The sequence below is a fragment of the Homo sapiens genome, chromosome 1, assembly GCF_000001405.40.
Source record: "Homo sapiens chromosome 1, GRCh38.p14 Primary Assembly".
In the NCBI taxonomy this organism is placed as follows: Eukaryota; Metazoa; Chordata; class Mammalia; order Primates; family Hominidae; genus Homo; species Homo sapiens.
In genome coordinates this window covers 101,242,771-101,258,020 of record NC_000001.11, presented here as the reverse complement: position 1 = coordinate 101,258,020, position 15,250 = coordinate 101,242,771, and the positions used below count along the sequence as shown (strand labels likewise).

Here is a 15,250-nt window from a genome sequence, read left to right as displayed (position 1 = left end):
CTGTGGCTGAGGACACCACCTCCTCCCCACCAACATGAGGTTGCATAGACCTCAGCCCTTCCCCAGGACTCTAGGCAAGCAGAAGAGGAAGAGCCTGAGAGCCTCAGTAATTTTTTTTTTTTTTTTCAGACAGAGTTTCACTTTGCCACCCAGGTTGGAGTGCAGTGGTACAATCTAGGTTCACTGCAACCTCGACCTCCCGGATTCAAGCTATCCTCCTGCCTCAGTCCCCACAAGTAGCTGGGACTACAAGTTCACACCACCACTCCCAGCTCATTTTTGTGTTTTTTGTAGTGATGGAGTTTTGCCATGCTGCCCAGGCTGGTCTCCAATTCCTGAGCTCAAGCCATCTGCCCATCTTGGCCTCCCAGAGTGCTGGGATTTCAGGCATGAGCCACCATGCCTGGCCTAGCCTCAGCTTTTTTTTGTTTTTGTATTGTTTGGTTTTAGCCTCACCATTTTTATCCAAAGGAGGCAGAACAAGCATTCAAATGGATTAAATTACTGACTGGGACTACATTTTAAACCAGTCATTTAGTTAACGTTATTCCCCCTTCTAACTAGAACGTAAATGTCTGTGAGGGAAGACGGAATAGGATAGACTAAATAAATTCATTTTTCTGCACATCCAAGTTGCAATGTAGGTCAAATTTTGCAATTTCATCATACATTCTTTTTTTGATCTCATGCAAAAAGAGAATCTGAGCACAAAACATAGTTGTTGACTAGCAGAACTTCCAACGGAATGAATTCTTTGAAAAAGCAGGAATATTCATCTAATGCGGCCTGGCTTTAGTGGGGAGGGTCAGTGTAAAGTAGGAAAAAGAAGAGAGGGAACTGATCGTGGCAAGGGTTTTGTCTATTTTGCTCACTGCTCTAATGGCAGTACATGGAGCATAGTAGATGCTTCATAAATATGCGTTAAATGAATGAGTAAATGAACATTTGTTGACTATCATCTATCTTGGGCCAGACATTAAAAAATATAATTCTATTTATTTATTTATTTATTGAGACAGAGTCTCACTCTGTCACCCAGGCTGGAGTGCAGTGGTGCGATCTCAGCAAACTGCAACCTCCACCTCCCAGGTTCAAGCAATTCTCCTGCCTCAGCCTCCCAAGTAGCTGGGACTACAGGCGCATGCCACCATACCCGGCTAATTTTTTGGTTTTTTTTTAGTAGAGATGGGGTTTCACCGTGTTAGCCAGGATGGTCTCGATCTCCTGACCTCATGAGTCGCCTGCCTAGGCCTCCCAAAGTGCTGGGATTACAGGCATGAGCCACTGCACCTGGCCAAATATAATCCTATTTAAATCACACAACAGTCTTTGAAGTTAGTTATTATCATTATTTTATTTTTTTAACAACTTGTAATCAATTTATTAAAATGGCTTACTTAAGCATCTGCAATGGTGCCTTCCACCTCAACTCCTGGCTCAATACTGATGGAAGTAACCTGCTTAACAATCTCAGAAGGACTGTGCCAGTCAATAAGTCGCTTGTGGATTCTCATCCCGAAACAATCCCATGTCTTAGAACATTCACAAGGGGTTTTTCTTGTAGTGATTCTCAAAGTCTTGGTAGGCATTCGAACTGGTCCTTTCACTTTGAGATTCTTTTCCTTTGCTCCTCTGATCAAGTCAGCACACACCTTCTCCAGGGATTTTACTTTGCGGCTTGTTACAGTGATTCGAATTCGGTGAATTGCCACCTCTGGCTCCACGAGTGTGTTTCCGGAATTCTTTTTTTTTTTTTTTTTTTTTTTTTGAGATGGAGTCTCGCTCTGTCCCCCAGGCTGGAATGCAGTGGCGTGATCTCGGCTCACTGCGAGCTCCGCCCCCCGGGTTCACGCCATTCTCCTGCCTCAGCCTCCTGCGTAGCTGGGACTACAAGAACCTGCCACACCATGCCCGGCTAATTTTTTTTTTTTTTTTTTTTTTTTTTTTTTTTTTTTTTTTAGTAGAGACGGGGTTTCACCGTGTTAGCCAGGATGGTCTCGATCTCCTGACCTTGTGATCCGTCCACCTCGGCCTCCCAAAGTGCCCGGTATTCTTAAAAGCCATGGCTGCTGCGCGGCTTCCTGACCAACTGTTCCTCACAAGAGCGAACAGTGGTGAGTCAGGAGCAGGAGCTGGCAGATCAGCGATTCTTTTTTTTTTTTTTTTTTTGAGACTGAGTCTCACTCTATCACCCAGGCTGGAGTGCAGTGGCGTGATCACGGCTCACTGCAACCTCTGCCTCCCAGGTTCAAGCTATTCTCCTGCCTCAGCCTCCCAAATAGCTGGGATTACAGGCATATGCCACCACACCCGACTAATTTTTTGTATTTTTAGTAGAGACAGAGTTTCACCATGTTGGCCAGGCTGGTCTCGAACTCCTGACCTTAAGGGATCTGCCCGCCTCGGCCTCCCAAAGTGCTAGGATTACAGGTGTGAGCCACCAAGCCAGCCTATCACTATTTTACAAAGAAATGAACTGCATTTCAGCTAGGTTGAATAACTTCTCCAGGGCCACATACCTAGTGTGCGGTAGAGACAGAATTCAAACACAGGCCAAACTGACTACTCTGACTTAATATATTTCCTCGTATGCAGGGAAAAATCTTCATATACTAGAAATTCCATTGATATTTCTCCATTCTGCTTTATATTACAAGAAAGATCCTGATGTTCGTTGGGTGACCAGAGTCCCACTGCAAAAACGATTCTTCCTGGCTGGGTGCTGTGGCTCACACTTGTAATCCTAGCACTTTGGGAGACAGGCAGATCATTTGAGCTCAAAATTTCAAGACCAGCATGGACAACATGGCAAGACCACATCGCTACAAAAAAAAAAAAAAAATTAGCGGGGCATGGTGGTGCCCACTAAGCCCCAGCTACCTGGGAGACTGAGATGGGAAGATCGCTTCAGCCCAGGAGGCAGAGTTGCAGTGAGCCAAGATCACACTACTGCACTCCAGCCTGGGTGACAGAGCCAGACCCGGTCTCAAAAACAACAACAACAACAACAACAACAACAACAACAACAAAAAACTCCATGATTCTTCTTGTGCATCACACCACGAAGGCAGCACTGATATTACAGCATTTGTTATATATCTATGTGGAAATGCTAATAATTTTCTGGCTAGAAAGAAATCACAGGAAAGTAGAAAGAAGTGTGTAGGAGACCACAGTGCAATCCCAGAAAAAGGAAAAGAAATTTTTAAAAGGGAAATTGTAACCCTAATCTGGACTTTAGCTGAAATAAGCATTTTTAATGTCAAAAGAGCCCTTGAGCTTGGTGTAATCAAAATAAACAACAACATGGGCCAAATTGCGCAAAATAAGTTCTTTCTTGGGTTTCCAGTGACGTTACCGACCACACAAAACTCCACCGTCTACTGAAATTATAGCCTGTGATTTTATCCTCTGGTGGGTTGTATTTGGTCAAACACCACCATTTTCATTAACATTTGCTACGCCCTTCTGCTTGGATCTGCCACTCCCCCTAAATTCAACAGACATTCACACTGCTGCAGAAGCAAAATCATTGTAATTTCAAAGACTTGCATTCCATTTATCTCAGTTTATAAAAGTTAGCAAGGGCCAGTAGCCTAAGGGTCTAAAGACAATCTGGCTGGATCTAGGAGAAATAAATCTGGAGACGTAAGAATACAATAAAACCAGCAACACAAACCTTTCACTTTTCAACATTGCCTTACTAGCACAACTATGATTTCAAACTAGACAAGGACAAGAGAAACGAGTAGGAGTCAAGAGCGAGTCACTTATCTCTGAAATGAGACAGTTGGGCAGGTTAATCTCTAAGGTTCCTTCCAACTCAGTGAGTCTATGATCATAAATCTGGGGAAGCCTGAGGAAGTTTTCCAGGCTTTACTGTGTAATGGAAAAGCAAAGCCAACTTCACTGGTGACTCGTTATGTGGGGAATTCGTTAACCTCCCATTTGCCTCAGATGCGCTGCATCCTCTGGGCACTGATAGTAATACACACTTCACAGTATTGTTGTGTATAGCTAATTGAAAAGGACGAAAGTCAGACTTGCCAATACATTTATAAGCTTTTATATATACATATAATCTTTTATATATATAAGCTTTTTTAAAATATATTTATATATATATTTATATATATAGTTATATATATTTATATATATATTTATATATAGTTATATATATTTATATATATAGTTATATATATTTATATATATATTTATATATATAGTTATATATATTTATATATATAGTTATATATATAGTTATATATATTTATATATATATTTATATATAGTTATATATATTTATATATAGTTATATATATTTATATTTATCTATATTTATAGATATTATATATATTTATATTTATCTATATTTATAGATATTATATATATTTATATTTATATATATTTATAGATATTATATATATTTATATATATTTATAGATATTTATATATTTATATAATTATTATTTTATTATATATTATATTAATAAATTTATATAAATAATACAATAAATATATTATATATATTTATTATTTATTATATATTTATTTATATAATAAATAAATATTATATAAATATATATAAATATATGTTTATATATAAATATAAATAAATATATTTATATATGTATCTATAAGCATAAATAAATATATTTATATATATTTATACATAAGCTTTTATATATAAGCTTCTTATATATATAAGCTTTCTATATATATATAAGCTTTCTATATATATATAAGCTTATATATATATATATAAGCTTATATATATATATAAGCTTATATATATATATATATATATATATATATATATATATACACATATATATATACATTAAATAGATACCCCGCTGGGTGGGGGGGGTCTCACTATGTCATCTAAGCTTTTTTTTTTTTTTTTTCAAGACAGGATCTTGCTCTGTTGCTCAGGCTAGAGTGCAGTGGCTCAATCATAGCTCACTGAAGCCTCAAACTTCTGGGCTCAAATGAATCTTCCCGCTTTGACCTCCTGAGTAGCTGGAACTACCACGCCTGGCTAATTTTTTTTTTTTTTTTTTTTTTTTTTGGTAGAGACAAGGTCTCTACCAAACTCTCAAACTCCTGGCCTCAAGTGATCCTCTAGAGTAACCAGGATTACAAGCACATGCCACTGCACCCACCTGAAGCTTTTAATTTTTGAAGAAATTTTAGAATGGGAAGATGAAGATGGAACCAGCATTTGGAAAGGGTCTGGTATGTAGCATATGATGTGCCTGTCTGAATTTCCCATTATGCTACTACAGTGTACAAGATGTCACCTTTTAGAAAGGTTGAAATGTTGGGAGGCCAAGGCGGGTGGATCACGAGGTCAGGAGATGGAGACTATTCTGGCTAACACGGTGAAACCCCGTCTCTACTAAAAATACGAAAAAATTAGCCAGGCATGGTGGCGGGCACCTGTAGTCCCAGCTACTCGGGAGGCTGAGGCAGGAGAACGGCGTGAACCCGGGAGGCGGAGCTTGCAGTGAGCCGAGATAGCGCCACTGCACTCCAGCCTGGGCGACAGAGCCAGACTCCGTCTCAAAAACAAAAAAAGGAAGGTTGAGATGCCACTGTTTCTGTGCCCATCACCATACATTCCATTCACCATACAATGGAAATCAGGAGCTGAAGATGTTTCAGCCAGATATGAAGTAGCCGCAGATGATCAGATATGCCAACTAAGACATCTCCCCATAGTCCTAAAACCTGAGCTAGCCTGTTCCCCATCTCCACCCATGCTTGTCACACTCCAGGCCACCAGACAGAAACTGCTCCAGTGGGGAATTGACTTAGTACCCATAGTGGACCTTCAGGTGAATAAGCTCAGCTCTGAGAGCTCAGTTGTTTCAATTTATATTAGATGCCAAAGAGGAGCCCTGGGGTCAGGTGTGGATACCATTGTGTCATATTTTGCCTGTATAGGAATTGTTTTTAATCAAATTAGCATCATTTAAAAATTGGGAGATTATACATCAAAGCCCATATGTTCCGCACGCTTTGGAACACTGACAACACTGGGCCAACATCTCAGCTAGCAACAAAGAGCTGGAGTGGGATAAAGACTTCTCCACTGAGATGGACATTCACTCTCAAGCTCATCAGTTTCTCCCCAGGCCACTTGACTCCAGTAAGTCCTCTGCCTGGTTCCTGCAGGTATTTGAGAGCAATCACTGATTCAGAATATCTGAATATCTAAGCAGACAAGAAAAACTACATCTGAGTATACCAGGAAAGCTTCTCAAGTCTCCTCAACTGCCTAGATGATGCAATGGCCTCAGGATTTAAGTGGCTACCCTCACCTAGTCTTGAAGCTGAGATCTATCCTAGGGACTCCTGAAAACCAAATGATAGAGGTACACTGGCTAGCTCAGTGCTGTGGCAAACAGGCTGAAGATCATTACAACACTCTAACAAAGAGATCAGGGCCAGGCCAGAAGTTCTGTTTTAATATTACAATTGCTTGTCAACTGCTTTGCCATGCATGGTATATAAAATGCCATTTTATGAGATATGTTAATTAACAAACAATTATATGGAGACATTTCAATCATATAAAGAGCTATTTCAGTCTACTTAAAGCTGAATTCAAATAGTGCTTCACTTAAAGTCAATGCTTTCTAGATCCTATGATTCTCTTCAATAAAAATATACCGTTTCATGGAAAGCACTGTAAATCAAAGATCCTGATCTTAGCAAAGCTAACAGATCCTTATTTTCCCAAAGCCCATAACTTGGCTCATTTTAGGGAAATTACTTTCGTTTCTATTACAGTTTCTTGTATATGGTGGTTGTCAGCCTGAATGCCAGTCCCTGAGTCAGGTCCTACTTGTGGGAAAGAGCTCCAGATACTTAGACTTTTACGTTAGTTCATCCCATTAAGGGGCTTATGCTTTGTTATCCTTTTCTGAACCTTGGCAGGGTCTCTTCATTATCTTACAAGTTAAGTGAAAAGCAAAACTCTGCACTGAGCTGTTAATGATTCCTAGTGAGAGCCATGAAATGTGAATGGTGTCTGTCCTAAGGGATTGTTCAAGTAGGCAGCCACAAATCCCAGGGACACCCTGCCAGTTCAAAACTACGGGAAACAAAGTTGCACCCTCAATTTGTGCTCCTTCTTAAACTTAACCAAAAAAGGAATTCGGGAAGAGGAAATGATGCTGCCAACTTCAATAGCTTTAGCCAGGATGTCACAGCCTCTGATATAGAGTGAATACTATGGATTTCCTCCAAATTAAATAAAAGTTCATGGAGTGACATAAAGAATGGAGATCGTTTATAACACAGAGAAACTATAGTAAGCCCCAATGTCTAAAACTTCTTTTGTATGGAAGACAAAATCCTCTTTTTTCCTTTAGATAGATTTAAATGAAAGTAGGGAAGAAGCAAAAGTACTTTAACAATAAGAAAATGTTCCGATTACTATGCTTCAAATAGAAGTTTCCTGCCAGTTACCAGTGCATTCTTGATAATGAAATGCAAAGACTAATGTGAACTTACTATGGTAACACAGACATTTAATTCCATATAAGTCAAAATTCAGCAAACCACCGGTAACATCAGCTGGCAGTGCCAGAACTCAACCGTGACATGACCAGAGGCAGGTGTGGTAGACTGAAAACTGCCCTCACCAGGGAAGAAATCACACCATTTGATGACAGCATGACTTTACAATAAAAGTCATCCCTTGTGTGCTTTTATATCTTCAATGTTTATTTAATTCCTCCAAATACCCCACAAGTTTTTCTATCCATTAGCAAAAATTATATAGAAAGAACTGTGTTTTACAAGAGACTCTGAGCCCTAGAGAATTAGAAAATCATAGATTGCTTTCCAAAAGCCACCTATCTGAAGAGCGTGTTGTATTTTATTTATTTATTTTTACTTCCATCTCCCTTTCCTGGTACATGTTGTATTTTAAAACACAAAGAAAAATAACTGTCCATTCTTCAAGTAAAAATGTTTAGATTCAAGTGTGTGAAAGGTAAAAAAGGAAAAGAAAAAAATAAAATTATAAAAATACTTTAGATTTTTCAAACAATGTTGAACATTGCATTGAATTAATACATTTATTCTAAACTGTTACTTTGGGGGCAGAACTAGTTCATTAATTGATTCCTTTTTGGAGAAGACAAACAAAAGATTGATGAAAAATCCGATGTATATTTAGGTATCCTAAGTGTTCAGAGCAGCTAACTACTGGCAGCTAACTAGTGACACTAGTAGTTTGTTGCCCCGAACACATAGGTGTTAACACACAAACTTCAAATATATACTCTAGTGCCTTGATTAGCGTTTAACCTAGACTTTGTCAGAATGCCCAACACTGGCCTTTTTATAAATCTAAGAGAAAACCCAGATGAGTGTAGAAAGATGCCAAATAATTCTAGGAATCAAACGCTTCTCCATCTCTGAAGACCACATAAATCTCGGCACAACTCTTGTGCCTACAGTACCCCTTTAAGGAAAGAACACTGCAATCCAGATATTCTTCACGCTGGTATGAAGTTCAGCAACAATACTGGCTTGCATCAAATTTCTTAGAAAATGAACTGAGAGTAGAGGCTGGTCATGGTGGCTCATGCCTGTAATCCTAGCACTTGGGATGCCTAGGCAGGAGTATTGCTTGAGCTCAGGAGTTCGAGACCAGCCTGAAAAACATAGTGAGACCCTGTCTGTATTAAAAATAAAATAATAAAAGTTAAAAAAAAAGAACTGAGAGCAGACTCCATTTGATACAAAATCCCTTACAGATGTTTATATTATTTTAATACATTTCAATTTTCGCTAATTAGGCCCACAATTCAAAATCACTATTTTTTGAAAAAACAACATAAAACACTAAACGAGCATAGTTTTTTTAACAGAAAAATTAATACAGTGGATATATAAAGTGAGATGATGTATATTATGTATATATTATGGTGTATATTATGTATATTATATGGGCCTTTTTGCTTCTTTACAATTAGAAGGTCCAAGGCTGGGCACGGTGGCTCATGCCTGTAATCCCAGCATTTTAGGCGGCGAGGCAGGAGGATCGCTTGAAGCCAGCAGTTCAAGACCAGTCTGGACAACAAGGTGAGACCCCTGTCCCCAAAACCATCTCTACTGGAAAAAAAAAAAAAAAGTAGCCAACATGGCATGCACCTTATAGTCCCAGCTACACAGGAGACTGAGGCCAGAGGATCGCTTAGTTTGAGGCTGCAGTGAGCTAGGATCACGACACTGTACTCCAGACTGGGTGACAGAGCAAGACCCTGTCTCCTTAATAAATACATGAAAGAAAGCTCTTGTGGTTGTGTCTTCTAAATTTCTTTTTTTTTTTTTTTTTTTTGAGATGGAGTCTTGCTCTGTCGCCCAGGCTGGCGTGCAGTGGCACAATCTCGGCTCACTGCAACCTCCACCTCCCGGGTTCAAGTGATTCTCTTGCCTCAGCCTCCCAAGTAGCTGGGATTTCAGGCACATACCACCACCCCTGGCTAATTTTTGTATTTTTAGTAAAGATGAGTTTTCACCAAGTTGGTCAGGCTAGTCTCGAACCGCTGACCTCGTGATCTGCTCATCTCGGCCTCCCAAAGTGCTGGGATTACAGGTGTGAGCCACTGCACCCGGCCCTAAATTTCTTATGATTCTGCAACTCCTACTTTTATAGTATAAATAGTATATATAGTAAAAATAGGTTCCTATTATAGTATAAATATGTAGCTGGAAAAAGTGTTGATATAAAATATTCAGTCAATTGAGGCAAAGCATTTTACAGATTGAATAATCTAGGTAATTCTTTGGTACCCTAATTCACTTTGCACGTGTGAATGGGAATATGAAAATCTGTGTTTTTCTAAACGCTGCCTTGACCAGCATCTAGACAAGGAAGAGAAACCAAGAACTATTTCTGCAGGTGGCCACATGAAGCTCGCTGAAGCAGAACAGCATGTGAGAACTAACCACTATTTCTGGTACCTCAAAAGATCTGCAGAAGCTTGGTGAGAGAAGACTTTTCAGGCAGATGATAGTTAATGTCTTTACAAGTGATTTAGCACAAGTCTTCTCTTATTATAGAACATAACTTTACTGGTGACCTGAATTTGTTTTTCTCTGAAGTGTCTAGACAGGAGCAAGAGAAACTCTGAAATTAGAAATAAATATACTCTCCTTTGTACAAAACACTGAAGCTACTCATCCTCCCACCAGCAGACATTATGCTTTGAGGGGTAGATCTGGTAATGGCGAGCAGGTATCTGAGCTATTGGCATTCTCAAGAGACTTCCTGATAGAAATGGCACACAAATGTGAGCAGGTCAACTTGGATTCAGTAGAGCTGGTGTATAAGATGAGTGCAGAGTTCTTGGGCTGCACAAGGAGTTATCCCCAGCTCCCTGGCCTCAAGCAATCACTGAACATACAGCACACAAACGACCTACCTAGGCTGCTCTCTCAAGTCCTCTACATGACTTTCAATGGCTCACTAGTAGATAAGTCTGCTTATCCTCTTGAGTTGTGAATTTTTCTCTCCTTTCCTTTTCATCCAAGTTGAATAAGGACACCACCTATGACTTATTCAAACGTACACTTCATCTGCACATTATAAACCAAGCAGCTCCACCTAGCACAGTTCACAATAGGGATCTAGGAAGAAAAACACAAACTAAGGAGAGATAGAAACTGAAGACAATGTTGAATGCTTTTATTTTACGGAGTTGCTTCTTGATCACATGGGGACTAGATGCTGAAAAATAGAATACAAATACTGATATTTACAACACCACCCAATAACACAAGGAACTTCTCTCCATTCCAAATATGAGTTTATTCTTCATTATTTAATTTTAAGTAATTTAGAGATATAAATTAAATAAAAGCCAATGATGAAAAGCTGCCAATATTAATTGTATTTGTTAAATGAAATTATTTTAGACTGCTAAAGAACTCAATATATTAGAGGAAGTGTACAACAATGAACAAACTCATGGGAAAAAAAGAACTGTTTCTTGGCTGGGTGCCGTGATGCACGTCTATAATCCCAGCACTTTGAGAGGCCGAGGCAGGTGGGTCGCTTGAGCCCAGGAGTTCGAGACCAGCCTGGCCAACGTGGTGAAACCCCGTCTCTACTAAAAACAGAAAAATTAGCCTGGCGTAGTGGCACACGCCTGTAATCTCAGCTACTCATGAGGCTGAGGCAGGAAAATCGCTTGAACCTGAGAGGCAGAAGTTGCAGTGAGCCGAGATCGCATCACTGCACTCCAGCCTGAGCGACAGAGTGAGACTCCGTCTCAAAAAAGGAAAAAAAAGAAAGAATTTTGTCTTGCCATATCAAGGTCCCTGGACCCCAAAGAGAGGGAGCCACAGGAGTGCCAGAGCTGAAGGAATGAATCCTGTGAGCTCTAGGAAGGCAGAACCTCTGTTTATATTTGCCCCTAGATCCACAGCACAGAGCACAGGGCAAGCATTCTTGTTGAGTGGATGAGTGGGTAAGTTTGCCGACCTATCAAGAGGAATGGGAGTAGGAAGCATGACCCACACCAGTAACTTTTTCCAAGGTTTTTCTTTCTGCCCTGGTATCAACAAAGCAGCAGAAAAGTGGAGTAATAATAGTAGTAGAGCTCTGGGGAAATGGATAAACAATTTCCTACGTCTCCCTGCTCCTTGTTAGCTGAGGTAACCATGCCCCCTCTTCCCTGTTTCTATTTCTGCTTTGTATCTAATCAGTCTGTCCAAGGAGCAGTGCAGCACCTGAGGCATTTCTTCTCTGTCCAGTTACTCCCAGAGATGGCTGAAAGAAAGACCCCTCAGACAGGGGAATGCAGGTAACAATGTGTCTGGCTGCAAGCTTATAAAACTCACAGGATGGGTACACGTGGACATAGAGATGGAAACAGGCTGGTCATGATGGCTCACGCCTGTAATTCTAGCACTTTGGAAAACCAAGGTGGAAAGATTGCTTGAGGTAAGGAGTGTGGCAACAGCCTAGGCAATAAAGTGAGACCCTGTCTCTACAAAAATAAATAATTAGCCAGGTGTGGTGGCACACACCTATAGTCCCAGCTACTCTGGAAGCTGAGACGGGAGGATTGCTTGAGCCTAGAAGTTCCAGGTTGCAGTGAGCTATGGTCACACCACTCCCCTCCAGCATGGGCAACAGAGTGAGACCCTCCAAAATAAATAAATAAGGGAACAATAGACACCGGTGTCTACTAGAAGGGAGAGAGAGGGAGGGGGACAATGGCTAATAAACTAGTTGTTGGGTACTATGCTCACTACCACAGTGATGGGATCATTCACACCCCAAACCTCAACATCACAGCAATATGCCTATGTAACAAACCTGCACATGTTCCCCTTGAATCTAATATAAAAGCTGAAATTATTAAAAAATAGATCCACAGGAACATAAGCTTGTCTTCCATATCCTTTGTGCTCTGCTATCTCTTCTAACAATGCAGTGCTTACACCCAGGGCGAGTGTTATTATCTGAATGAATGCCTTTTATAGGTTTGGTCAGGTGGCCATGATAAGAAATTGGCACACTCCAATTTGTATGTCTCCAGTACTAATATGTTTACATATCCTTGCAATGTATACAAGGTCCATTCTTCATAAGGCTATTTACAACCCATCATATATTCCTAAAACTGAAATCCAAATGTCAATAAACTTTTATTGTGACAGTTTCATTACATCTCTAGACTCTTTCAAGACACAGAAATTCTTCAGGGATTACAAATACCAATACTAAGCCAAATTCTCATCCTATGGAAGCAAAGAGTATCATCATGTCACAATTATTTAGCATTCTAAAGTTTTATTTCTGGGTCATGGGATAATACTTAAAAAGCGTATTTCCCTTTTATGAAACACTTTGGAACCTTTTCCACATTCTTTTTTTTTTTTTTTTTTTTTTTTTTGAGACAGGATCTCACTCTGTCACCCAGGCTGGAGTTGGAATGCAGTGGCCGGATCTCGGCTCACTGCAACCTCCACTTCCTGGACTCAAGTGATTCTCCAGACTTAGCCATCCAAATAGCTGGGGCTACAGGTGTGAGCCATCATGCTCAGCTAATTTTTTTTGTATTTTTTGTAGAAACGGGTGTTGCCATGTTGCCCAGGCTGATCTTGAACTCCTGAGCTCAAAGCTATCCTCCTGCTTCGGCCTCCCAAAGTGCTGGGACTACAGGCGTGAGCCACTGTGCACGGCTGCCACTTTCTACTGAACTTCATGGAACCTTCCCACAATTTCACAGAGAAAGTCTCATATAGTCCTTATACTCAGAAGTGAAAGTCTAGCATATTGATATTTTTAAATTTCACTGGTCTTAAGAATATGATTACATAAGTTTAGACAAATATACACATCTGAGTGAACAAGGTCCTAAAAATTAAGATAAAGAGCTTTGCTAACAACCTAGAAAGTTCCCTCGTGTTCCTTTCCAGTTTATCCTCTTACCCCAGGCAACCACTGTGCAGATTTATACCTCCATATATTAGTTTTGCCTATTCTGGAACTTTTACATAAAGGAAATCATGACGTATGTTCTCTTTTGTGGTTGCATAAGAGGTTTAAAATTCATGAAAACGGTTGCAAGATTAGTAGTAGGTCCTTTTTTGTTGCTGAATAATATTCCATTGTATTAATTTACCATGGTGTATTTATCCATTACTGATATGGAAGCTTCTGGTTGGATATATGAAGATACTTCATATATCAAGGTTGGATTACATAAAATGTAGCAATTCCTGTTCACTCAAGTCCACAGTCCACACTTGGCTCTTGCTAATGACTATAACCAGAGCTAAGTCTAATTTTTTAATCCTTTAGTCCTCAAAGGGATAAAAAAGAGAGCACGGGAAAAACAGAAATTACTTGAGAGTCTGAATCCAAGAAGAAAGTGTAGGGAACAAGAGATCGGATGTATTAGGAGAGATATATTCAACATGAACCCAAACTACTCTGGGTCCTGGTTCTTGTCAAAGATTGTGAAAGACTGAAATAAATGCAGGTCTAACCCCTCACTATGCTCTTCCTCCTATCTCTCCCAGCTTTTTAAACCACCGGTTTAAAATCCTCTTTATAGATAATCCATATAAGGCCTTTAGTTATTCAAGTAAACCTTGCTTGCTTGAATGTTCTGAGAGACAACTCTAGTTCCACTTAGTATTGCAGTGAAGGCAATGGTGTATGTTAAAAAGTATTTTGAGTCCCTTTTCTTGGACCACGTGAAGTACACATCAAAAGAGCAGGAAGGAAGGTTGGAGAAAATGTTGTAGTTTATTATGATTTCTCATCATCATACATTTACTGTGTCCACAAGGAAATAATACTCTGATAGTCTCTACAAAAGTTTCTTTTAGTTATTTGTGATTCCTCCCTCAAGGTATTTATAACCTATTTAGAGAAAACACAGACAAATCTATGGGAGGATCACTTGAGCCCAGGAATTAAAGACCAGCCTGCGCAACATACTGAGATCCTGTCTCTACAAAACATTAAAAAAAAAAAAAAATCAGCCAGGCATGGTGGCACGTGCCTGTGGTCCCAGCTACTTGGGAGGCTTGGGGCAGGAAGATCACTTGAGCCCAAGAATTCAAGGCTGCAGTGAGCTATGATTGTGCCACTGCATACTAGCCTGGGCAAGAAGGCAACACCTCATTTCTGAAAAATAAATAGAACATTTTTAAAACAATTGAATGTTTCTCCTTCTAAGGAGATGTAAAAGCAAGAATAATAATTTGTCTTATATAACATTTTGATTTGAATATTCTGTAAAATTGTAATCACATTTAATATTGTTGGGGATAAAGTATTATATGATGTTACTTCATAACTTTCCTGACTATTTTGAGTCAATTGAACTTTTTACAAGAATATGTCAAGTATTGTCCAGGATCTGTTTCACTCCTCTTGAAAAACACTACAATTTTAAAATCAAAGCCTTATATGTGTATTTTTTAGTACAAACATATAATTACTAAGATTTTTTTCTCATTCTTACTTCTGAGAATACACTGAATTAAAACCAGATATTCATGTTGGGAGACAACCAAGGATTCCTTCTTCTTATGTCTTTGCTTCTTGGTCTGATCTGGGGCTCTACCACACATGTGCCCAGGAAAACCACAGTCCATGACTACCCAGCTTTCTTGGAATGAAATGCACAGTCTGGAGTTTCCAGGAAGAAAGTACATCTAATCACTGGATAATGTGGTCACAGGGGGAAAAGTGTCACCA

General features: G+C 39.5%; 1 pseudogene, besides 2 other annotated features; it reads right to left on the bottom strand.

Moving 5' to 3' along the window:
- On the bottom strand, window positions 1,362-1,745 carry RPS20P6 (ribosomal protein S20 pseudogene 6; annotated as a pseudogene).
- Window positions 10,031-10,250: an enhancer, noted in NCBI's record as "active region_1397". NCBI's record gives its function as "activates an Ori minimal core promoter by ATAC-STARR-seq in GM12878 lymphoblastoid cells {active_cell/tissue: GM12878}" and the evidence as "EXISTENCE:reporter gene assay evidence [ECO:0000049][PMID:35858748]".
- Window positions 12,422-12,622: a silencer, noted in NCBI's record as "peak339 fragment used in MPRA reporter construct". NCBI's record gives its function as "represses an SCP1 promoter by STARR-seq MPRAs in K562 erythroleukemia cells {active_cell/tissue: K562}" and the evidence as "EXISTENCE:reporter gene assay evidence [ECO:0000049][PMID:32103011]".